The 26529-nt window shown below is 46.5% G+C and overlaps 1 protein-coding gene across 3 annotated transcripts in view, besides 1 other annotated feature; it reads right to left on the reverse strand.

Annotated features, from left to right (window-relative positions):
- The window catches only part of DGKG (diacylglycerol kinase gamma), a 215034-nt gene that overhangs the window by 28858 nt on the left and 159647 nt on the right, over window positions 1-26529 (reverse strand). For all 3 annotated transcript variants that reach the window (NM_001080745.2, NM_001080744.2, NM_001346.3), the window contains one exon: window positions 12144-12321. In NM_001080745.2, coding sequence (NP_001074214.1) covers window positions 12144-12321 — 178 coding nt within the window. The remainder of the gene's footprint in view (window positions 1-12143; window positions 12322-26529) is intronic.
- Window positions 18052-18849: an enhancer, noted in NCBI's record as "NANOG-H3K27ac-H3K4me1 hESC enhancer chr3:185911899-185912696 (GRCh37/hg19 assembly coordinates)". NCBI's record gives its function as "activates a minimal SCP1, AML or CMV promoter by ChIP-STARR-seq in naive and primed H9 embryonic stem cells {active_cell/tissue: H9 hESC(naive and primed)}" and the evidence as "EXISTENCE:reporter gene assay evidence [ECO:0000049][PMID:30033119]".

Below are 26529 nucleotides of genomic sequence, written 5' to 3' on the forward strand. Positions count from 1 at the left end.
GACAGGGTACCCGAAGGCAGGGAGGTGAGCTTGGGTGGGGGTGAGCCTCTTCTCATCTCCTCTCAGGGAAGCCTTGGCTACATGATCTTATTAAATGGAATGCTGAATTCTTTGGCTCGAAGGTAAAATACTAGTTGGTATATTATCTGGCATTACTTTACCCACTGAGCTCAGGAATCTTATTCTGGGTACACTGTATGTAATAAAATAAATCAATTAGTGGTAAGATTTTCCACCTTAACTCAATCCTGATTCTCAGGCGTGGCATATACAAGGTACATTCCAGAGATCTGCACTGGCCAAACTTATCACAGCTCAACAGGCTGCCTACAGCACCTACTATTGAGAGATCATCTCAGAAAGATCTTATAAGGGAACTAATCACATTCACTAATATCATCTCAGATTCTCCAGAAAGACAAAGTTGGAGGAGAGTCACGACAGGGAGGGCCTTATTCTGGTGGTTGGGTCAGGGTTGGCCAGAATGGGGGAGGTGTGGGAGGGTGTTGGGTGTGTGTGGAAAGAATCCTATGTTTGGAATACTAGGATTTGGGCTCTAGTCCCAGATCCACCAGCTAACGCAGTCTTGGATAGGTCAATTAACCCTCCCTGGGCCTTGTTTTTCTAATCTATAAAATATTCCTCGGGGGTGCTGTAGAGGATTAAAATGAGACGATGAATGTAAAATATTTCTGGCATCTAGTGCTAGATCCAAGTAAGTGATTAACACATGCTGGATAAATAGACCTGAGGATGAAAAGAGATGGGCGCTGGCCTCATGCTGGAGGTGCAAAGGGGCAAAGGTCCCTGCTGATGCCTCTGCTCTGCTAACAGAAGCCCCTGGTGATGGGGAGAGGTTTGGGCGTGGAGGCAGGCAGGAAGAGGCTGAGCTTGTTGGGAGAAGGAGCAGGGGTCCTGCTGGGTGGTTTTTGGGGAGGGAGGAATCACCTGTGTGGCAGTGTCCTCTGTCCATCCCTTGCTTACTGTTGGCTTTGTCCATTCTTCCCCTTTGGGTTGTTGACTCTCAATTTGAGGCCTTGGAGCCATAAGCCCGCATTCTGCATTAGTCTCCTCACTGGCCTTGTTACTGCCAGGTTCTTCCCCTTCCTTCTCATCCAAACTGCACATGACTCTCAGATCCTATTGCTCCCGGCTGAAAAAGCTTCATCTCTTCTTATTATTCAAAGGATCATGTTCAAACTCCATGAACAGTCTCCATCTTCCGGTCTTTGCTTTGCTACTTCTGGGTTTCAGTGCCCAGCCCATGTTGCCTTTCTTTTACTCCCTGTCTTTTCAAATCTTTTTGAGCTCCCAGGACTAACACACATGCATTTCATCTTGTTCATTCATTTGTTCGTCAAACATTTGTTGATCACCTACTAGCTGCATTGCATGGTGCTGGGCAGCTGGGGCACATGTGCTGAAGGGAAGACCTCCTTGCCTCCCACACTCTTATAAACTCATCTCTTCCACTCCATGGTGCTTGCTCATTATGCCAATATTAACACGATTGTTCTAAAGATATTTCTTACATGTAGATAGTAGATTGCCAACTACTTGAGGCCTGGACCATATTGTTTTCTTGTCTCCTCCTCTGCAGACTTGGAGCACCTTAGATACTTGAAGACAGGTTTGAGTCCAGGCTCTATCGTGTGTTATCTGTGTGATTTTGGCCCAGTCACTTAATCCTACTGAGCTTCAGTGTCCTGAGACATAAAGTGGATTAAATAATTATGCAATGGTTTTGTCCCATAAGTAGGTATTCAATAAATAATAGCCCAACACATATTTGCTGATTAAGAAGATTAAACCCTGCTATGGACTGAATGTTTGTGTTCCCCTCCCCCCATATTCATATGTTGAAGCCCTAATTTCCAATATGATGGTATTTGGAGGTAGGCCCTTAGGAACATAATCATATTATGAGGGTGGAGTCCTTGTGAATGTGATTAGTTCCTTTATAAGAAGAGACCAAGAGAGATGATCTCTCCACATGAGGATACAGCAAGAAGCATCCATCCGCAAACCAGGAAGAAGACTCTCACCAGGAACCAAGAGTGCTTGTGGCTTGATCTTGGACTTCCCAGCCTCCAGAACTGTGAGAGATCGATTTCTGTTGTTTACGCCACACAGTCCATGGTATTCTGTTACGGAAGCCCAACTCACTAAGAAAAACACTTCTTGCACCAAATAGAAACAGATCACAGAGAATACCAACATTCAGGCTGTGCAGAGCATGTGGCCAGGACGGAGTTTTGCTGTGGGATGGAGCTTAGGTGGTGCCCAATATGAAATGGTCTATGAATTCTGCAGGGGAACAGAGACTAGTTTGGGGGTCAAGATGGGCAAGTGCAAGAGGGAAAAACTAAGGTGTCTAGTCCTGCCAAAGAGCCTAGCCTAGAATTTTCTTCTGTATGTGAAAAGTGAAAGGTTCCTTGGCTCTGTGGTTCTATTTTGAGCAGCAAACCTCCTGAGGCAGGAATTAAGTTGGAGTTCAACTCCAGCTCAAACCTGTGTGAGCAAGTTTTTCCTCTGCAGATGCTGAGCAGCCTCCTGAGGCACATTTCCACCTCGCCAGGCCCTCCCAGGTCTTGCAGAAGGGAGTGGGAGAGGGGAGGAGACACAGCTGGAGTCAGAGTCTTCTTCATTCAGACGTCAGCTGAGAAAGAGTGAATGATTGCTTCACTTGAATTTCCAGTGAATTTGAGTTGGGTCAGGACCAGCCAGAAACTGCGAAGCTGGGGTCGGGTTGGGGTGGTTACTCTGGGGTTTGTAGAAAGAATTGTACGTTTGGAATACTAGGACTTGGGTCCAGTACCAGATGCACCAATTAGTGTGACCTTTGATAGGTCAATTAACCTCCCTTGGCTTCCTTTTTCTAATTTATAAAATTTATTCTTGATATTCTTTGGAGGAGAAACCAGACCTACCAGTGCAGTTCTTCTCAAAAACTTCAGCGTATGTGCGATCACCAGCAGATCTTGTTGAAATACAGACTCTGCTTCAGTAGGCCTGCAGTGGGACTTGAGAGTCTGCACTTCTGACACACACCCATGCAAGGCCAAGGCTCCTGGTTCATGGACCACACGGCGTTCTAGTGCAGGGATTGACTAACCATGGTTTGAGGATCAAATCCAGCCTGCTGTTTGCTTTTGTAAATAAAGTTTTATCAGAACACAGCCGTGCCCGTTCATTTAAATATTGCCTATGGTGGTTTTCATGCTAAGTGGACAGAGCTGAGTCGTTGCATCAGAGACTGTATAATGCACCTAGCCTAATTATTTTAATAGTTACTACATGGCCCTTTGCAGAGAAGGTTTGCCAGCCCCTACTGTAAAGGACTGAGGATTGGTCTGTGTGAGCCAAAAGATCTGCATTTCTATCTGGGTTTGGCTAAGGGCAAGCCACTTCACCTTGCTGGTACTCACTTTCCTTATCCAGGGAACAAAATAATATCTACATTTCCTTATCCAGGGAACAAAATCATATCTACATTCCTAGGCAGCCTGTGATTCTGGGATTTCAGTATTATGTAGAAAACATCACAGTTTCTATAGAAATAGGCATCTGAGAACCACGTTGAATGGCCTGCATTTGGAAGCTGCAAAAACATACCTGCCCTAACCTGGCAGAGTCTAGCAAGTCAGATCCCGCCAGATGCCATGAGAGGTCTGCGGAAACAGACCACAGCTACTTTCTGATGTAGAGTCAGTTGGGAATAGAAAAGGGCTTGAGAGGAGAGAAGAGTGAGAATTGGAGGCCGACCTCCTGAGCTCCAGTACAGGTGGATGCTGGCAGAGGGGCCCTGGCACAGCGCACGCCAGCATCACTCACACAAATTCACTCTTGCTGAGAGACCAATTCAAAAACAATCCCCTAACTCACTGCTCCATGTGCCCCTGACTGGGTGCATTTGGTCAACCAATATTGACAAGCCCTTTTGAGGCCTCTGAGACTCTGCCAGGCACAGGGATACAGAAGGGATTATGACATCTGGGGCCTCCTGAGGGCCTCACAGTCTGATGGGAGAAACACCATGTAAATAAATAATTATATGAGAGTTCCTCAAGCCAGTCGTGAAGGGAAACATGTGACTCTGGGTCTCCAGCTTGGGCAACAGGTGAGACATCAATAAGGCAGGGAACATGGGTACGGGGAGGAGGCAGTGTTTTTAGGAGGGGGAAGGATGTGTAAAGATGGGGAAGATAATGACTAGTTTGGGGCATGTTGATTTCAACGTGGGCTGCTTGAAGGACTAAATGACAAAGCTGTGATTTCCTGTGAAAAGCAAAACAGCGTCTCCGTAGGCCTGCAAATGTTGAACGGGAATGACATGTATGTTGCCATGGTTACTCCCCAGAGCTAAGAAGAGTCCCAGTGCACACACCCATAGTACTTCTGGGGCTCCCTAGGGGTCACCTGTCTTGCTCTGTCTCAGCCCACAGGAGAGACCTGGGCCAGAGAGGATCTCTGTTAAATGCAAACTTTTTAGGAACATTTTTATTTTCTCTCAACTCGGAAGAGTGGTGGCTGATCATTTCTCACTATGACTGTCAAATCTCCACTGAATGGGAAAATTGGGAATCTACAGACCTGGACAGCTCCTGAACCCCTGAGGCCACATTCTGGTATGGCTTCATAAAGGTGAAAAGAAAGCCATGAGAAACAGTGAACTCGTGCTCACAATTATTTTGGCGTCTCAGCTGATCTCTAGTTCCTCACCTGGGAGTATGAATCTGAGATGGCTGAATGGCATCCCATTCCCTTGCTTTGGGATTCAGGGCATAGTCCATACAATTAGTGAGAATCCACATGGGCACAGTGCACAGACAGATTGAACCATACGTGCTTGCAAAGTAGCAGAGCCAAGGTATTGCCCTTCCCAGGTAAAGTGTTCACATCTAGGAGGGCAGATCTGATGACTACACGTATTTGCCTGAAGAGTGCTTGTGCCTGCTCTGCTCAGTTGGTTTGAGTGCTAGGCTAGTGAGGCCACGGGCATGCCTATGAGCTACACACTGGCTTGCTGGCCTTGCCTGGGCTCTGGGTAGCTAAGCAATTCTTAGTACTTAGCATAGTTCCTAATTATATGCCTGTCTGTGGGGTTATTTTATTGAGGCCTGGCTCCCCCACACCCAGTGGCTATAAAGACTATGTTTGTTTTTGGTTTTGTTCACCGTTGTACCATGGTGCCTGGCACGTGGTGGGGGCTTTGTAAGTATGTGTTAAATAAACTGACAGGAAGCCTGTCCCCACTGCTGGGAAAATGACTCAGAGTGAACACTACCGAGGGTATCTGTCTCCCTGTCTTTGTTTACCAAGAATTGCAAAAAGTATTATCTAGTGAGATCCTGGGGAGATTTTGTGCTACCCATTTATAACCTTCTCTAGTGGCTGGGTGTGGTGGCTCACACCTGTAATCCCAGCACTTTTGGAGGCCGAGGTGGGCGAATCACCTGAGGTCAGGAGTTCGAAGCTAGTCTGGCCAGCATGGCGAAACCTAGTCTTTACTAAAAATACAAAAATTAGCCAGGCACAGTGGCAGGCACCTGTAATCCCAGCTACCTCGGAGGCTGAGGCAGGAGAATCACTTGAACCTTGGAGGCAGAGGTTGCAGTGAGCCGAGACTGCACCATTGCACTCCAGCCTGGGCAAAAAGAGAGAAACTACATCTCAAAAAAATAAAATAAAACATTTTCTAGGACACACCATTTGCAGTTCAAATAGGATTGACCAAGAAATCACTGAGAGGAAAGTTGCTTTAATATCAGACAGCCAGAGGGGCCAGGTGTGGATAACACAGGCTCGAGACCACTGCTGGCTTGAGACTGAAGGCTGGATAGGAGCAGGCATGAGGATCAGTGAAGAGTCTGAGGAAATATGCAGGAAGCCTCTGCATTTATATTTTAGGCTGGGGCCAGAGAGAAACAATGGCATAGCTCCCCAGGACTTTGCTCCTCAACCCCAGGGGGACCGACCCAGCCTTGTGCCATGCCCTTGGTGCTTCCTCAGGATCCAAGACTGGGCACCCTCCCCCTCCCCTTGCTTCACTGGACAGCCAGCTCAGGTGGAACTCCACATGGGCAGCAATAGCCAAACATGTGTAGGCACAGAGCCAATACATAACCCTAGAATTACAGGTTGTTAGAGCCACAGGCAATTTAAAGATAATAGATGAAATCCTGAAGCCGTAGTCAAGAGAGTGAAATTCTAAATTTGGCCCCTTTCTTATATTATAAATACCTTCCCCCACACCTAACAATAATTCTGATTACTGCTGACCAAGGGCTCACCAGGTTCCAGGCACTCTGCTCAGTCCCTACATGGATGATCTCATTTAACCCTCAAAACAAGGCTGAGGGAGGGAGACCATACTTGTTTCCATCTTGTAAGTGTTGAAATGGAGGCTGGAGATGTCCAGGGACTCATCTAATCCATGACTGGTGCTGAGAAGCTCTGGGTCTTCTGAATTCTAGTTCAATGGTGAGTCCCTACTCTACCCTCTCTCAATTGCAAGTCCTCTAAGCTATATTTGAATTACCTATTTGAAAATGGCCAGCACATCTTACTTATCAAATGAGTTTATAATAGCTCCATGAAATTAAATTCTCAGCCTCACAAATACTCACATGTAACTCTAAGATTTTTTTTTTTCTAAAGATTTTTCACTAAGTACCTGTTCCTGTCCTACTCCAGAATCTACTGCCCACTGGCAAACTGGAGGCAAGATTCTTTCCCCTCTCTCCCCTCTTCCAACAAACGTTTCTGTAGAACACATGTGAGCCAGGCAGGGTGGGAGGCTTTGAAGGGGACACAAAGATAAAGAACATGTGATCCTCATTTTCCAGGTAATGGCAGGGAAAACATATGATGAGAACACACATGCCCGTGACACAGGCAGACTTCTGATCAGTGTACTGATGAGATAGAAGGCAAAATTAAGTGCTCAGGGAATTCACAGGCTGGGCTCGCTTCCAGCAGCCATTAGGTAGGCCTTGCAGAGGGAGCAGAATTTCAACAAGGAGTTGTGGAGCCTTTCCTCGGACTGGGTCTAAATACTTCCTATTTCCTGAGTGCGTGGCTGATGCAAGACACACAGTAGACTCCCTAACGCATTTTCTAAACACTAGCCACTTGGGCTAGGCTAGGAGTCATGGGCTTGAATCTTGGTTCTGATGCCACCACTGGACGTAAATTATATAAATCCTACCCTTTCTCTGGGCCTTGATTTTCCTCAACTATGAAATAGGGATATGGAGGAGGCTGGGTATAACCTTGCTCATGGGTTTCGGGTTAGGATTACACTAAGTTAATACATGCAAAATTATTTGCAAGCCAAAATGAAATAGAAATACAAGAGACTGTTTCTCACTATTCTTATTGTTGTTACAAAAACTAAAAAATAGCAAATTCCATATGCTTCTCATGTAGCTAAGAACCTTTCTTGGGGGGGGGCGGGGTAACTACTTGAGGCCAGGCACTGGGGATACAAAGATTAATAACAACCAGCCTCCATCCTTGGAATCTGAAAGGTCTAGGAAAGGAGATAGTAGGTACAATTGGTAATATAAGTTTAATGTGCTACGACAAAGGCTGGGCTAGAGTTTGGCAGGAGCTCTAGTCTTTCTTTTTTTTTCTTTCTTTCTTTCTTTTTTTTTTTCTTGAGATGAAGTTTCGCTCTTGTTGCCCAGGCTGGAGTGCAGTGGTGCAATCTCAGCTCACTGCAACCTCCGCCTTCCAGGTTCAAGCGATTGTCCTGCCTCAGCCTCCTGAGTAGCTGGGATTACTGGCATGCGCCACCACACCCGGCTAATTTTGTATTTTTAGTAGAGATGGGGTTTCTCCATGTTGGTCAGGCTGGTCTCGAACTCCCAACTTCAGGTGATCCACCTGCCTCGGCTTCCCAAAGTGCTGGGATTACAGGCGTGAGCCACCATGCCCGGCTGAGCTCTGCTCTTTCTTAGTGGTAGTGCAGGTGGATAGTAATGCTTAGGACAAGAACTTCAAATGTGAATCAACTGGCATTCTCCAACACAAAATAGAATTATAGGCGTAGGGACTTTTTTTTTTTTTAGGTTTGAGCTTATTATACTATGTTCCAGGCACTTTCACATCCATCATCTTCCTAATAAGCCATGTATTATTATGCCAGTTTTACAGATGAGGAAGCTGAGACTTAGGGTGGTTGGGTAATTTCCCAAGATCTATAAAACTAGAAGCATAAAGGCAAAATTTAAACCCAGATTATCTAACTGTAAGCATGGGGCTTTTCCCAATACCCCTTATTGCTTTCTTATCAGCCAATGTTTCTATAGAACCCATTCCATGCTAATCTTGAATGACCTTCTTACTCGGATTGTTTTTCCCAGGAGAAAGACTAATCTTTGATGGAGTGCAGTGGTGTGATCTCAGCTCACTGCAACCTCCGCCCCTTGGGTTCAAGCAATTCTCCTGCCTCAGCCTCCCTTGTAGCTGGGATTACAGGCATGTGCTACCATGCCTGGCTAATTTTTGTATTTTTAGTAGAGATGGGGTTTCATCATTTTGGCCAGGCTGGTCTCAAACTCCTGACCTCAAGTGATTCGCCTGCCTCGGCCTCCCAAAGTGCTGGGATTACAGGTGTGAGCCACTGCGCCCGGCCTGATGAGAGATTTGAGAGCAACCCCTCCCATCATCATTTCCTCTTCCATTTCCTATGATAAGCTCATTCCCTCCTACTGTGTCCTGATTTCTCCCTCTCCTCCAACTCCAATGAAACTGCCAAGGAGTTAAGAATCGCAACACATGAAGAGGCTGCAGAGAGAGCTCTCTGCCTCCTCAGCCAGTAGCCTATAAATCCCGGGACAAAATACACTGAGAGAAGGTAGAAATTTGAATATAATTCTGTCCAAGAAAGAGTCCACATAGACCAAAATCTGACTATGCCTTAATTTTGCGGAACTGTAAGGAATCTTAAAATATAATTGTCAGACTTGCTTATTTTACAGATACAGAAAACTGAGACCCAAGAAGGGGAAAGGACTTGCCTCAAGTCACACACTAGCGACAGGCAGAGTCTGGACTGGAACTCCAGTCTTCTGACTCCCAGGCGAATGCTTTTTCACTAAAATACGTTGCCTCTTTAGCTTTTCCCATTAACAACTCAACTTACATGAGATCATAGCCCTTTCAAGAAGAAAGCTCAGTGCTGGCATCTCTGCAAAGCCCAGAAGTCAGTGCCCCACTCTGATCAGCTGATGTCCTCATCTAAAGAACAGGAAGTGGTTTCACTTCTAGCTCTGAAAGCACATTGTAGGGGTGAGAAAGGGGGATTTGGGGAAGAGAGTTCCTGTACATGATAGTCAAAAGCAATCAGCAGACACTTTGGTCTTGCTTGAAGAAGGGGAAGATGTAAGGTCAGACATGTAAGAGGAAGATGAAGGTTGTCCTTGATCAGCACATGATCTCATCAAGAGCTTCCCCCAGCCCTAGGGTGGTGGAGAGTCGAAGTGGGGAGCAGGGAGGGTGGTGGTGGGGATTCAGCTCTGCTCATTCCCTTCTCTGCTCTGAGGGAGCTAGATACCAGAGCGGGGGTTGAGATAGGAGCACCAGGGTAGGAAAATTTGCAGGAACTTGATACAACCTTCAATGCTTCCCCTACCCTCTGTTAGCACCCACAACTTCCCCTGCCAAGGGAGGAAGGAGGAACACATTATTCAGCTTTATACACTGAAAAGTTTACTGTGTGAAATAAAGGGGACTTAAGGGGTCAACAGAGGCCGGGCATGGTTCTTCACACCTGTAATCCCAGCACTTTGGGAGGCTGAGGCGGGTGGATCACCTGAGGGCAGGAGTTTGAGACCAGCCTGGTCAACATGGAGAAACCCCATCTCTATTAAAAATAGAAAAAAGTAGCCGGGCGTGATGGTGCACGCCTGTAATCCCAGCTACTCGGGAGGCTGAGGCATGAGAATCACTTGAACCTGGGAGGAGGAGGTTGCAGTGAGCCAACATGTGCCACTGCACTCTAGCCTGGGTGACAGAGTGAGACTCTGCCTCAAAAAAAAAAAAAAAAAAAAAGAGGTCAACAATTCCTGAATCCTCTCTTAAAGGACAGAGGTGTGGAGATGATGTTTCCTGATGACCTGGCCTGGAATATAACAATCTGATTGTCAAATAGACGGGTGTGAAACAAGAGAATAACTTCCCCAACCCCCGCCTTGATGTCAGCGGAGTTTTGTTTTCTTCTAGTGGTGGGATCACATCCCACCTTAGCACTAACAGCCTGGAACATCAAAGCACACAGACGCAGAGCCATGGAATGCCAGGCATGGGAGAGACTGAGGGCATTTGCCTGTAGCAATGGTGTTCAAACCTGGCAGCCCATCAGAGTCATCTGGGGAGCTCATTAAAATTGAGATTCCCAGGAACCAGCACAGAGATTGATTAGGTAGATCTAGGCTGGGGTCCACAAATCTTCATTTTCAACAAGCAGCTGGTTTAAGAACCAAGGTTCTGGTTCAACCCCATCCATCCACCTATCAAAACTTTGATACAAGATATTGTTTTTACAGTAAAGAAAACTGGGGTGCCAAAAATAGGTTAGTAGCAGGTCTTGGACTAGAATTTTGTCTCCTGCCTGCTGGTATGGTGTTTCTGCCAGCGCTTTTACACCTGGCTTTCTCCTCCAGCTCACCTGTCCATTGAGGACCTGTGAGGACCCGTGAGCCCACAGGGGAATCAGCTGCCAGGAGCTTTGATTGAATCTCTCCATTTGGATCACTGGTGGAAAATGGCTACTTTTGGGGCTGGGGTAGAGGTGGTTTTAAGGACATTCTCAGAAAGCTGTGTTTGTATTCTGGTGAGTTAAAAGTGGAAGGCCCAGCTGGTGGCCTCTAAAGCATACTACCCAGTTGTTCCAGACAGAAAGAATAGTTGGTTCATGGGAGCAGCCTGCTGTGTTGGAGGAACCAGAGTGGAGGAGGCAGAGTGAGCGATGGAGAGAGTGGCAGAAGAGGAGGTCTGGGAGGTAATGAGAGGCCAAAACATACGGGGCCCTCTAGGCCACGTGATCTTTGGCTTTTTCTCCAAGCCACTGCAGGATTTTGAGAAGAGGAGTGTCATAACCTGACTGCTCTGATGTGGTGGTGAGAACAGGCTACCTAGGGCAGTGAGATAGAAGCAAGGAACCCAGTGAGGAAGCTTTGCAGTAATCCAGGGGACAGAGGATGGTGGCTCAGATCAAGATGGCAGGAATGCAGGTGGTGAGACGTGGTTGAATCCTGGATGTTTTTTAAAAGTAGCTAACAGATTTTCTGATGGACTGGCTGTGAGCCGTGAGATAAAAAGGGGAGTCAAGGATGATGCCAAGCGTTTTGGCTCTTGTGATGGGAAGGCTGGAGTTACCAATGGAGAGAAATAAGGCTGTGAGTGGAGAAGGTTTGGGGGAGGGACAGCAGAGCTCTGCATTGGACATACCAAGTTTGAGGTGTCTGCTAAACACATAAGGGAAGTATGACACAGGCTGCTGGACATAGGAGCCTGGAGCTCAGGGAAAGCTGGAGACAGGCTGGAGGCATCATGAGTAAGCACATGGTATTTAAATAAAGTCTTATGACTGGATGGGGTGATCAAGGGCTTAAGTACAGACAGTGAAGAGAAGAGGGTCAAGGACCCTGCCTGGGGATCCTCCAGCATCAAGAGGTCAGAGAGAAATGAGACCGAGAAGGAGTGACAAGTGAGCGGGGAGGAAAACCATGAGCAAATCAAGTCCTAGAAGCCAAGTGGACCAAGCGTTTCCAGGAAGAGGGAGTGATCAGCTGGGTCACATGCCACTGACAGCTGTGGCAAGATGAGGGTTAGGAACTGACTATTGGATTTAGCTATTGGAGAACCCTGGTAACCTTGACATTGGCAGCATTTGACTCTGAACCTCATGGAGCCCCACAGCTTGACAACTGACTGTCATTGAGGACACCCTTATTGTGAATTTTTGTCTTCTGGATTAAGTTGTAAACTTTGCAACATCGGATGACGAGTCAGCATATCCGCAGAGCATGGAGTCCTTGCTGGGCTGTGGGGCCTTACGAGGCCTGCTGACATCCACCTGAGGGCACCTACTACTGGGCATTGACCTAAAACAATTATCCTCATTCCTGGCTTACCTTGAACGCAGAATTTCAGTTCTTTGGGGTCAGTGACACCCTTCCTGCTTTCCCGGATCACAGCCCGGTTCTTCTTGTTTTCTCCCCAGAGATTGGTGCCTCCGTACATGCTGGGAATGTTGAGAATGGCAATGCCTTCCAGGAAGATGTTGCTCAGGTCCACCCCAACCCCATCACACTGGAGGACGGAGAGAAAAGGCCATCTGTTAGTGTCCTCAGTGTGTCACAACCCAAGGTGCTCTGTGTGTGTGCGTGCGTGTGTGTGTGTGTACTCTCTTAAAGGATGTGACAGGTCCTCAGCCACCACCCTGCCACTGTCAGAAGAGAAATCATGGGCAAAGTCGCTCAGACTTAATGCTTTGACTGCTGTGGTGAGATGACAGATCCAGTCCTGGTCAGCTCCGGGGAATACAGTACAGGCTCCAGGGTCATCTTTAGGTCTAGAAGTGCTTTAGGGCTGGTTCTTAAGTCAATTGTCAAACTGTTCTCCAGTCTAATCTCATTATCATCAATCTTGCCCCTTCCTAACCATTAGAAGATTTAGTGGAACTGAATTCAGAACCTAACAAATGACAGAAAATTCAGAACATAACAAATGACAGAAAATTTTCATATATATATATATTTTTTTGAGATGGAGTCTTGCTCTGTCACCCAGGCTGGAGTGCAGTGGCACAATCTCGGCTCACTGCAACCTCCACTTTCCGGTTTCAAGCGATTCTCCTGCCTCAGCCTCCCGAGTAGCTGGGATTACAGGCACCTGCCACCATGCCTGGCTAGTTTTTGTATTTTTAGTAGAGACGGGGTTTCACTACGTTGGCCAGGATGGTCTCGATCTCCTGACCTGTTGATCCGCCCGCCTCAGCCTCCCAAAGTGCTGGGATTACAGGAGTGAGCCACCACGCCTGGCCAGAAAATTTTCATTTTGCCCCCTCCTATTTTATCTCTCTGTGAGAAGCACAAGACTTTAAGCTTTGGAAGGCTTTCAGAATCTGCCTGTCTCCTGTATCTGTATCATAAATGCAATTTTGGCATATGTGTTTGCTGAAGGAGCAGAGTTTCTTTATCCAATCTCCACAACTTGCAGTCCCCACCAGGTACAAAAAGCCAGAAGGCTTGAATTTTCATCTCACATGTCTATAAAGTCAGCCCACTTTGGCATCGTGCTTACCAACACAGCAAGAAATATCAGCTCTGATCCTTGTTCCTCAGGATAGTAGGTAGTTTATTTCACTTACAGAAGCAAACACTGGACCCAGAGACTTGAGCTAAGTTATCCAAGCTTGCACAGCTAATAAATAACAGAGCAGGGATTCAAAGTTGGGGGATTTGAGTACAAAGTACATGGTCTTTATGTTGTTTATTGGGAGAAAGAAAAAATCAAAGGCATACAATAAAAACCCACTATCTCTGAGGTTACGTACAAACCCAAACTTCCAGAGACTTATCAACAGAGCAGGACTAGAAGACTTGTTGCCATTCATAGTGACTCACCTCCTGATTTCTTTGCAGTTCTTACATTATGTTATCTTGTTTCCCCAACTACAAGATGGCATACAGTGAGCAACTCTGGTAACTGCGAACTCATTTTTTCACTGGGAAGTTCTGATAATTTGAGAGGTCTCTTTATGTTGATCTGGATTCTCTCTCACTCTTGTTTCCACCAGTTGGTCCTGTTCTCCCTTCTGAACCCATACAGAATGACCCTCCTTCCTCCTCCATAGGCCACCCCCTAGATAGATGATGATGATGATGAAGATCACCATTGTGCACATGTATTCAGCACTGCCATCTACCACACACAATTTTATACACATCTCATTTATTATCTTCCTAATAATCCTATAAGTTAGTTACTATGACTATCCTCTTTTTACACTGGGGAAACTGAGGCACAGAGGAGGTTAAGTAACTTGCCCAAAGTTCACAACTTACAAGTGGAAGTACACAGATTTAAGGGCAGGTAGTCAGAGCCCAAGTTTTTTATTTCTCCTCCCTCTCACACTACTACCAGGTTGTGCCACCTCTGGACTGTCAACTCTCTTCATCTTCTCCCATGAGACTTGGTTTTCAGATCTTTTCCCATCCCGGCTTCCCTGTTTTGCACACACTCTAGTTTGTTACCCTGCTATTTGGCAAGACCCCCAACATTGAAAACTACATCAACGACGGGATCTAATGGGGGCAGGTGGCTACCACACCAGTACTTCTTGTGGCTGAAATTTTATGATACTATCATGCCCCAGAAATGAGATGACGTGCAAAGCTCATGTAAGAGTTCAGCACGTTATCCATTATCATTATCCTTATCCTTATTATCCAATTGATAAAGATTGCACTGGCCATTTTGTTAGTGGCTAGATGACAACATCACTTCAGCTTAAATGGGTGGTCATCTTCATTGCCCAGATCATCTCATGATCTATTTTTCATCCAGTTCTTCGCCATTCTGAACCTGTGTAGATTTTAAAAAATAACATAGACATAAAACTTTACATTTATGTTAATTAATTTCATCTGGCTCTCAGCCCGTGTTTCCTCTAGTCTACCCAGCTTACTTCCAATCTTCATTCTGTGACCTTTTGTCATCGCGTTCCCATCATTTGGGGATTAAGTCATTAATATGTGCGCATAAAAGGAAAAAACAGTGACCGAGCACTCTCCTTGGTCAGTTTAACACCAAACATTATGCGTTAACATCCTTTGGGGTATGGCTGCTCTATCGGAGCTGCATCTTCTGGACTGGACTGTCACCCAGCCTACTTTTTGTTATTAGACAGATGATGGAATTTAGAGATGAGAGGCACATAAGGGAAGATGCCTCTCATCTTTCATGCCTCATCTTTCATAAATGAGCCCCAGTGAGGTTAAGAAACTTCTCTGTGGTCATCTGACTTATTAGTGGTGGAGCTAGATATGTATCCAGGTCTCCAGACCTCAATCCTGCGTTCTTTCCATGAAAACATAAAACATTGTGCCGAGATCAAACAGCATTTCCTAAGTGACCACCCTACAACCTCTATTAGAAAAGCAATAAGATAACTCAACTAAGTCACCAATATCTGTGTGCAAAGCCTAAATACTTTGTTAATAATCTATTCTAGAATCTTGCCAGGGATCAGAATAAAGTGTATCAGTCTGTGGTTTCCAAAATGTACCCTATTCTTATTTTTTGAACACTGGAGCCATATTTGTCTGCCTCTTATTGGCTAGAACCTACTCTGTTTTCTGGATTTGTCAAAGTGGCCCCTGAATGACACCTACAGGCTTGTCCAGCAACTTGGATTCAAATGTGTGTGTGTGTTTCAAAGCCAGTTAGTTCTCCATTGATTTACCTTGGGTTCTAGTATCCACCTTTGGCATCTTTTCTTCCATTTTTAGTTTAAGGCCACTCTCTTTGGAAAAGATGAAAACTCTTCCAGAATGGCACAGTCCTGTTGAGCTATGCTTTCTATGTTCTTTTTCACTTCAAACGTTGTCTAGCATTCAGCTGGGCCTTCAGTTAGCCTGAAGCCAGGCTCACAGGTCTGAATTGCTTTTGTGTATTCCTACCTGGTTGCATGCCCAGGCTCTGCCTTTGCGTGTATGTGTACAGTTTCCTGAAAGCATAGGCTCAACCAACACTCTCTGTTGCTGTCACATTGATTGAAAAACAAAAACTGACTCCTTTTTCTTTTCTTTTCAGTGTGATTCATGACTTCTTAGAAACTTATTTTGGAATGTCTTCTACCCTCCTATCCTTCATACACATATTCCTAATTAGAGATTTAGGCTAGAGTCCCATTGGATCACACTTTCTTTTTTCTTCCTTTATTTATTTTTTGAGACAGAGTTTCGCTCTTGTCGCCCAGGCTGGAGTGCGGTAGTGTGATCTTGGCTCACTGCAACCTCTGCCTCCCGGGTTCAAGTCATTCTCCTGCCTTGGACTCCTGAAGTAGCTGGGATTACAGGTGCCTGTCACCACGCCCAGCTAATTTTTTTTCTATTTTTAGTTGAGATGGGGTTTTACCATGTTGGCCAGCCGGGTCTTGAACTGACCTCAGGTGATCCACCTGCCTTGACCTCCGGAAGTGCTGGGATCACAGGGGTGAGCCACCGGGCCTGGCCCACATTTTCTTTTATCCTTATCACCCTCTAGATGAAGCAGCCACTTCCCCATCTTGGCTGTAGTTGCTTCTACATCATCTCAATTTATTCACTGTTGGTCAAAACATCCCTTTCCCTTCTGAGCAGTAATAAGAATAATATTAGCAACTCATGCTTGGTGAGAGCTTTCTAGGGCACTGTGCTGGGATTCACCCATAGTATCTCTTGCGATCTTCACATGAACATGATGAGGGAGGCAGCATTGCTACCCCCAACTGACAGGGCCTCTTAGGGGTTAAGATGCTTGCTCAAGGCTCCACAGCTTCCTACTCTACAAGATGGCAGAGCCAGGATGCAAACCTAGGAAGGCAGATGCCAGATCCTACGCTGGAGATGAGTCAGTGAGGCAAATCGGGATTTTTGCTGATGCTAGGCTTATAGCAAAATTAAACTTCCAGCTGTTTGAATAATTGAGATCTCCCACTACTGCTCTATCTTATAGAGTGCTTAGAGCAATGCCTGGCACATCAATGTTGGATATTAATATTATTATATCTTGCCTCCGCACCAGGTTTGTTTTTTAAAAAAGTACATCACCAGCACAGTCCTTGACAAATAGTATTCCACAAAGTCACCTTTCTTCCGTACTACAGTTTTAACTGTACCCTGTCCCCTCCATCTCTATCCATAGCCAGCTAAGTGTGTTTGCTATTAACTTGGTAAACGTTTACCTCTTCCTGGAAGAGCAGGCAATCCTCACTCTGCTTTCTAGGTTGTCCCCTTCCCCTATTACCGCAGTGGGTCCCATGTAGATAGGGCAAGTAGAGGAGATGGGAGAAGCCTGGGGTCTGCTGGACGCTGATGTCCTCCCTCCCTCTTGGAATGCACCTACTTGGAAAGTGAGAGCCAATGTAGTGTCTTGGAAAGAACGTGCCTGCCTGGGCTTGAAGGCAGAGAGACATGGGTTTAAATCTTGGCTCTGTCACTTGCCAGCGGTGTGATTCCAGGTTGTTTCCTTACCCCTCTGAGGTTTAATTTGTCATCTGTAAAATGGAGGATAGGGGAATAACATCTGCCTTAAGGGGTGGGTTGATGGGTGTCTGGAATGCAGTAGCACTGTGTAACTGTCTGCGTTATCATCACAGGTTCCCCAACCTCTGTGCCATGAGGCATTTATCTTCCTGAATTCACTCCCCCTACCTGAGGCTTTGCTGGAGGCATCTTAACGGCCTCTTGGCCCGACCCAGGCTGGTAAGAGCCTTGGCAAGCGCACGCCTGCGTGCCCATTCTCCAGAGTTCCTGGCCTCGCGATCGTGCACTGATTTCCTTCAGAACCCCAGGCCCGCTCTGGACGTGGAAGGCAGCCGTGCCGTCTGGGAAAGTGGAGCCGAGCCCGGGACGCTGTCGGCCTAAATGGAACGCCGGCCCCGGGGCCCGCTCCCCGGCGGGTTCCCGAGCTAAATCCTCCAACTGTTCCATGACGTCATCGGGCCCCCTCCCCCTGCTCCGGCCCGCGCGGCCCCAGCGTGGCGCTAAGGAGTGTGGCGGTCCCCGCGCGCACCGTGGGCCATCCCTAACCCAGGACCTGGCTAGCAGGCTGCCCTCCGAGCCGAGGCTGCGCTGGGCGGAACCAGGGATTTATAGCCCGGAGTGGGGCTGAAACAGAGCTCCTGGCCCGAGCAGAGAGCGTGCACACGCATGAAATCGTGCTCCTGGGTGCGCCGGCGGCCAGGTGCCCGATGTCGGTCTTGGAAGCAGCGCCGGAGTCCGTCTGAACCCAGGCCCGGGAGGCCAGAGGCTGCCGGCCACGTTCAACTGTGTCCCCCTTGGGAAGACAATCCCCCCAGTTCTGGTTTCTTCCTGAGCCACGGGTGGTTGGTTGGTTTGGTGGAAGGCAGGTGCACAGGTAACAGAGACAAGGTTAGGAGGCAAAGCACATTTATGTGCAAATGAGACGCGCTAGGGAACTTGTAATCCTCTGCACCCCCGCCCTTGATGTCTCGATCCCTACAATCACAGAATTCTAGGCAGAGGCCGCCGACTTCTCCGCCCTCGCCAAGAGGGACCCGGAGCACCGAAGCTTCCCAGCCGGTGCCGGCGTTTCCGCGCCCTCCTTCTCTCCTGCGCCGTGACCTCAAAAGGGCGGCGGGCGGGGGCCCCTCCACTCCAGCCCTGTCGATCCTATTTCTGAAGGGCCTTAGGGAAGGAGATTCCACAATTTATTTGATGACCTGTTTCAGTTTTTAGCAACTAGGAAATTCCCCCTTCTTCTAACCTCGATTCACCGTGCCACAGATTTGGTTTGGACGCAGACGGTTCTGTTTATAGGCCTGCCACTCGGCTTTGTCTGCTCTCAGGAATGACCTCCACCAGGCCAGATCGGAGGTGGAAGCCAGGACTCGGTAGCTCCGGGAGGCATGTGTCCCCTTTCTGCTGGGAATTTTCTCTTTCTTGGGTACCCTGTCACTGAGTTATTGTCCCTCCCATCTTCCACGACTCTTTCTTGGTCTTTCTTTAAAAAAAAAAAAAAAAAAAGCCGGGCAAGGTGGCTCATGCCTGTAATCGCAGCATTTTGGGAGGCCGAGGCAGTTGGATTACCTGAGGTCAGGAGTTCGAAACCAGCCTGGCCAACATGGCGAAACCCTGTCTCTACTAAAAATACAAAAAATTAGCCGGGCGTGGTGGGGGACGCCTGTAATCTCAGCTACTCTGGAGGCTGAGGCAGGAGAATCGCTTGAACCCGGGAGGCGGAGGTTGCAGTGAGCTGAGATCGCGCCACTGGACTCCAGCCTGGGCGATAGAGCGAGACTCTGTATAAAAAAAAAATTATGGGTATTTTCAAACATATAGGGAAAGCAGAGAGTATAATAAACCCCCGTGTACCCCAAAACCCAGTCTGGGTAATTAGCACCTCTAGCAACAGGCAGCTAATCTTGTTTTAACTCTACCCCAGTTCACTTTATCACCACCAGACTGAACTAGTTTATAGCAAAACAAAAAAAAACAAAACAAAAAAACAAACAAAAAAAAGAATTACCTTAATACTATTGTTACTCTTTAAAAAATTCTTTAATAAGTATCCAGTAGTTGTTCAAATTTCCTTGATAGTATCATTTTTTTAAATTGTTAGCTTGCCTGAAAAGTCTTTACATTGCATTTGTTGATATATATCTGTTAGGTCTCTTTTGATCTATAGACTCCTGTTCTTTTTTCTCCTTGTCTTTTATTTATTGAAGAAATGGGTCATTTGTCCTTAGAGCAGTGCTTCTCAAACTTGAATGTGCATGCAGATCACTCCAGGGTCTTATTAAAATGCAGATTCTGATTCAAGAGGTCTGGGTGCGGCCCGAGACTGCATTTCTGACCCCCTTCTTGGTGATGCTGATGTTGCAGGTCCGTGGACCACACTTTGAGTAGTAAGGCTGTAGTGTTGCGCAGATTCTGGATTTTGCCAACTGCATCTCTGGGGTGTCTTTTAAACATAGTCTATCCCTTGTATTTTCACTAAATTGGTATTTTTAGATCTACAGGCTTGACTAGATTTAGGGTTGGCTTTTTGGCAAGATTACTTTATTAGTGGGGCTGTATATTTCCTATTGCATCTCATTAGGAAGCACATAATTTGGTTGTCTCTTTTTTGTGATTTTTAGACTGATCAGTGGATTCAGGTGTTATCAGCCTATACCTTCTATTATACAGTTCTTGTCTTGACCCATTAATATAGTCCCCTAATGGTAGGATACCCTAGCACCTTCCCTGTACCTTTCTTCTAAATCTCTACAGATGCTATTTTCTCCATAAATTATTTCTCGTATAGTCTCTTAAAAGGATCTCTCTCTCTTTTTCTTTCTTTTTTTTTTTTTTTTTTAAGACTGAGTCTCACTCTGTTGCCCAGGCTAGAGTGCAGTGGCGTGATCTTGGCTCACTGCAACCTCCACCTCCCAGGTTCAAGTGATTCTCCTGCCTCAGCCTCCCAAGTAGCTGGGACTACAGGTGCCCACCACCACGCCCAGCTAATTTTTTGTATTTTTAGTACAGACAGGGTTTCACCATGTTGGTCAGGCTGGTCTCGAACTCCTGACTGCAGGTGTTCCACCTGCCTTGGCCTCCCAAAGTTCTGGGATTACAGGCATGAGCCACTGCGCCCAGCCTTTTTCTCTTCTCTGCATCTGTAATCTCATGGAATCAAAGACCTGAAGGGCTTGAAAGGTGAACCAGTCCAAATATCTCATTTTATAGAAGAGAAAACTGAGGCTAAAGATGTTAAGGGAATGGCCCAATGTTACTTAGCTAATTAGAGTGAGCTGATCCAGAATTAGACCTGTGATTGTTTGGACCGACAACCAAGAAGCCATGAGTAACTTTATAAAGAGGAATTTTGGCTATTGGATAAGGGCTGAAGCACAGAATCTTAGAATGGGAAAGCAACATGGGACATTAGAGATCATTCCTAATTACCAAAATGAGAACAGTGAGGTCTAAAGTTGGTAAGTTGACCTTCCTAGATGACACAGCTCTCTCCTGGGAGAGATAGGGCTTAACCAGGGACTCTGGGGTGAGTCGGGTGGTGGTAGTGAGGGAACAGAGTCAGAGTCACCGTGTGGTTTGGTGGCACACAGGCTGGAGAGGGAAGATGGGATCTAAAAGGATAATGTGATTGAGGAAAAGGTTTTTTTGTGGATGTTTGAGGCAGAGAAGATACTCAATACATCTTGTTGGATGAATGGATGAGAAGAGGAAGTTGGGATGCCTAGGATGGGAAGTAGATAGAGGGAAAGAGAAGATGCTGAACAGAGTGCTGGGACATTGATCTGGGGACGATACCAGGGTCCTTCCTTTCTCAGCGAGTGAGAGAGTTGGCCGGGGGGTAGCTCTTTTGAAGATGGAAGTAGTAAATGCTGGGCCATGTCTGGGGAAAATAGCACTTCAGTTACAGTGAGAAGGAAGAGAGAGGGCTGAGGAAGAGGCGGACAATATCCTGACACACTTGAATAGGGGTTCTGATGGGCTGAGAGGGGCATGGGCAGGAGATGACGGTGGCCTCCTTTGATGCCTGGGCTCCAGATCAGAGCCGCAGATAGACCCTAAAAGGCAGAGGGGTGGCTGACCTAGACCTGAGTGAAATCCCCCACCACCCCGCACACTGCCTCTTTTTTGAGGGAACAGGACACTGGCAGGAAATAGGGAAAGAGAAAGCACCAATAAGCCACCCTGTGCAGCCCCCGGGGCCTGTGGGACTTAGGTAAGAACGAGGCAGTGGTGCTCATTTACAGCGAGAGCATTTCTGATACCGTGGGCGGGGAGCAGCCTCTCTCTGTGAATTAGCTTGGCAGGTTGGAATGTAAGTCAGACTACGGTGAAGGCTGGATGCCGTAGGGTCTCATTTGGTTTGGACATAGGAGAGTAGCTGAGGGAGAGGGTTAGCTGAGCCTTAGTAAATGTCAGTTATAGTAGCCTGAATTCTGCATAGAGGCCACAGAGTTGCGGACTACTTACATTGTTTTCTGCTGTACACGCTGCCTAAACTGCCCATCAACTCTTTTATGCCCGTTAACATACCCTTCCAGCTCAAAAGCTTTCTCCTCTATGAGGCTTTCCTCAATGCTCTTGCTAGAAATGAATCTTCCCCTTCTCTGAATTTTCACTGCCTTGTTTTCTCCTCTTAAAGGGAATGTATATTCTGCCATGCATTTTGCATAGTTGTCTGTCCCCTAGGAGACTTTAAACTCATAGAAGGCGGGGACCATATCTGACAGCTCTGTGTTCTTCACAGTTCCTGGCATGTCTTACCCATATCAGGTGTCCAATATAACTATTTGTGAGTTGAAAGAAATAATGTGTGCAAAAATCCTAAAATGGAAACCCAGGTGTTCTTTGAAGAAACGTGATAAGGTTTCTTTGCTTCCGTATGAGTTCCCCCAACCTCTCTGGATGAATATAGTGAACAAATAAAGTGGACCAAATTTCCAGGATAGGGAGAGACATGGAAGGTTAATCCAAGTCTCCATCAAGTGGTCCTCTGATCACAGCTGAAGGAAATCCATACCTGAACACCTGAATAGGTAACAAGAGTAGGGCACATGGGGCATGTTTTATATGAGAGAGACATTAAGAGGCAGAAGACAGGAGTACTCACTGATCTATCAAGAATGATGAGAACCTACTTATTCTGTGCTAGACTCTAGGGATGGAGCAGAAATGGGACACAGTCCCTGTCCTCAAGGTACTTCCAGTGGGTCAATACTAGAGGCAGTGGTGTGCTGTCAGTGCTTAACAGCAGACTCCCTTGGAGGAAAAAAAGCCTTTGTTATTGTGTTCCATGGTGGTGTCAATATTCCTACTATGGCCAATTTCAAGTGACCATGATGACATCACCAAAAGGCAAGTTGGGAAGAGATACACCAGCAAGCAAGCTTGCTCTAGCACACTGCTGGCTGGAGGCAACGGGGAAGAAAAGGAAGTAGTTACCTGCATGTCTGCAGGGCCTATGGCCATAATAGAGAAAGTACTGGGAGTCAAAGAAAAACAGGGCAAACAACAATATCTGTTTTCCGCAGAGAAAAACTAGAGAGAATGTTTCTAGTGTCAATAACCTGATGTGGCTCAGAAAGGAAGAAAAGGTGATGTATTGAGTGGCGACAACATTATTGGAAAGACAGTCCAGTATTTTTTTTTTTAAGACGGAGTTTTGCTCTTGTTACCCAGGCTGGAGTGCAATGGTGCGATCTTGGCTCACTACAACCTCTGCCTCCTGGGTTCAAGGGATTCTCCTGCCTCAGCCTCCCGAGTAGCTGGGACTACAGGCGCATGCCACCAAGCCCAGCTAATTTATGTATTTTTTTTAGTAGAGACAGGGTTTCACCATGTTGGCCAGGATTATCTGGATCTCTTGACCTCGTGATCTGCCCACCTCAGCCTCCCAAAGTGCTGGGATTACAGGCATGAGCCACCACGCCTGGCTTTCAGGACAGTCCAGTATTATCCACATACACAAACTGGCCTGGCCTGTAGCAACTCTTACAGAACAGTGGCTTCTCCTGCATTCAGAGGTGCTGGTTTATATCATTTTAGGAGCTGATGTCTATTGTGGGCAGTTAGATAATGATATTAATCCACACGTATGTTATATATTATTAATATATATCATTTATTGAGTAACTATTGTGAACCAGCACTTTATATATTTTATGTCTAATCTTCACAACCCTACAATGTCAGTATTTGTATTCCCATTTATTTTTTTGAGACAGAGTCTTGCTCTGTAGCCCAGGCTGGAGTGCAGTGGCATGATCTCGCCTCACTGCAACCTCCGCCTCCTGGGTTCAAGAGATTCTCCCGCCTCAGCCTCCTGAGTAGCTGTGATTACAGGTGCACACCACCACATCCGGCTAATTTTTGTATTCTTAGTAGGGATGGGGTTTCACCATTTTGGCCAGGCTGGTCTTGAACACCTGACCTCAGACAATCGGCCTGCCTCAGCCTCCCACAGTGCTGGAATTACAGGGTGTGAGCCACTGCGCCCGGCCTTGTATTTCCATTTTTACAGATGAGGAAACATTGACTCGGTGACACTAAGGAAGGAATGTCTTTCCAAATTTGTCAAGGTTCATGATAGTCCTCATGAACCTGCGGGTTTCATGCATGAGATGCAAGTGACGAGATCAAGAAGTCAGCCCAACTTACAGAGTGCATGCTCCCGATGCCTCTTACTCTTGTGCTTTGTTACCTATGAGATCGCATTTAGAGTATTATAGAACAGGAATTTGATTTTTCATTTTAAGGCGGACCATGAAAAAAATGGAGTGTATCAAGAGAAGAGTGGTCCAGGATATTTGTGGGTCTATAAATCAAGTCCTCTAAGGAACTGAGGCTGTTTAGCTCAGTGAAGATGAAAAGGAGACACCATGAAGATACATCTCCAGCCCTATGAAAGGCAGCCATGTGGAGGAGTGTGGAGGATGCTCTGTGTGCCCCTAGAGGGTGAAAATGGGCCCAGTGGATGAAGACTTCAGTCATGCACCCCGTAAACACTTATTGTGCACTGATTTTGTTCCAAGTATTGTTCTAAGTGCTGTCTAGGGAAGAAGATGACAAGGAATGGGACACACAATCCTTGTTCAACATCAGGAAGAACTTTCTGAAGATCAGAGCTGTCCAGTAACGCAGCAGGCTTCTTGAAAAGTAGTGAGCTTCCTATCTTTGGAGTATTCAGGAGGAGGCTGGGTGCCCACTTATCAGAATGTGCTAGGATGAGTCTTTTGTGGAGTGGTAAGTGGAACTAAATCCCCTTCCAGTTCCAAAATTCCACATCTACATTCAGCTTTGTTTTGGCAGGCTAGTGTGCGCTGTGCTGAAAGAGTGCCATCCTGACCCCCCACTTCCACCTAGCCTTGTCCGCCCTGGTGTGTGCTCCGAGTTCTCTGACAGTGAGCTGAGGTGGGCCAGTTAGACTGGAAAGTGGCTGCATCTGTGACAGGGATGATGGAGTTCTGGCGGGTTTGTGTGGGCTCAAGGAATGCGGCATTGAAGCCATGTACACACAACCTGCTTAAGAACATCCCATGGGCAGAAAATGTTTTCTTCCTCTTTAGCCCTCCTCTGTTGCTGTGCCAGGCGGGCACAATGGTGCCTTTGAGAGGGGCAGCTGGAAGGGGGTGTTGGCAGGCAGACTGGAAGTAGAATATTGCAGCTGGGGGTGGGGGTGCCCAAATTCATTTCCAGGAGTGAGCCGGCACTGGGTGCCAGTTTCCAAAACAAAACTGCTGTTTCTCAGAGTTCACAGTGATGGGTTGCTTCAGAGTTGGACAGAAGGCAAAGCTGTTTCCTATCCACTGCTCCACCCTCCCCAGGTGTTTTTTTCTCTTTCTTTCTTTTTTTTTTTTTAAACTAGTGTGTTAAGGGATTCTTGCTCTGGATGCAGATTAATAGGCTTTGCTGTCTGTCTGGGAAGCTGAGGCCAACCTGGAGTGGATGGGGCTTTTTGAGGGATCACACTTTCCTGCAGACAAAGCAGGGCCTGATGGCCTGGGGGCCAGCAGGGATCATGGGCAGGTAGGCTTCTGAGCCATGAGAGAGGGCTCAGAATGGAGACCCTTTCTGCCCTGCAGGGTGACTTCCACCCTACAGCCACCTGGCACCCTCACTGCCACATGAGCTCTGCCCACTCACTGTCTTAATTCTGTTGGGTGGGAAAGAGGTGGGAGAATGTTGGCATTTCCTGTCCTGGTTCACAGTTGTCCCGGACCCTCTGCTACTATCAAAGATACCACCAATAGCTTCCTAGAGATGGGCGTGGGAGGCCTTCTCACTCACTGCGCAGTTAGGAGAAGGCATGAGTGCCAGCCATCTTCCCCTTTGTGTTACAAATGCAGCAAGGTGGGCCCCTTTTTCTGGTAGCTTCCAAGAAAAAGGCGGGACTTGAGGCTGGCCAAGTGATCATTGCTAATGTTCACACCAATTGTGGAATTCCCTATACTTGGTTCAATTTTATAATCAACAAACAACTATTGAGGAATTAGTTCATTTTAGGCATTGTGCTAAGTCCAGGGGTATAGAATGAATAAGATAAAGTCCTTGCTTCAGAAAGCTGACTGCCTGATAGATATGCCAAGTCCTGAATGGGAGCCCCTTTATCAACTAAATGGACACATGACTTTTCTAAAAGCAGGAAGGTAATGCAGAGGTCATCTCCTACTGCAGGTCCCGTGGCATTGTGAAGGGCATATGGGCTGGGGATCACAGATTGAGGCTTGAAACTCATCTGATCTTGGGAGTACTTACTTGTTTTATGAGATGCAGTTTCCTTGGGTAAATAATGGGAATAATACACAACCATGCAGAGCTGTTATAAAGATGAAATAAGACAGAGCTTGCCACGTGGTAAGTACTCAGTAAGTTGCTGCTATTGTTATTCATTTGTTGAGCCTAATGGGCTTGAGATATAACACGTGTGTGTGCACAGTGGTATTTATCCAACCCCTTGTAGATTCTATGACCTTCTTTAAAGATTCAGTTCTTCTACCTTCTTAATTCCTCTTCTAGTGAAGACTAAGATTAGTAAGTTTATGACTTCACAGGATAAGTTAGAAAAACAAAGACATATCCACTATAGCCAACAAGACATATTTGTATATAATATTCTCTGTTTAATAACCTGTGATTGTAGAGGAAGAAAAGGATTGTAATGTTTCTCTTCCCTGAGGTTCCCAAATCTCCCATGTGTGGTGATGAAGATCATGAATTCCTCTGAATATTCTAAAAAGTCTAGGTCATTTCCCACTGATGGGGCCTCGCAGTTTAT

Source organism: Homo sapiens, chromosome 3, assembly GCF_000001405.40.
Source record: "Homo sapiens chromosome 3, GRCh38.p14 Primary Assembly".
NCBI classification, from domain to species: domain Eukaryota; kingdom Metazoa; phylum Chordata; class Mammalia; order Primates; family Hominidae; genus Homo; species Homo sapiens.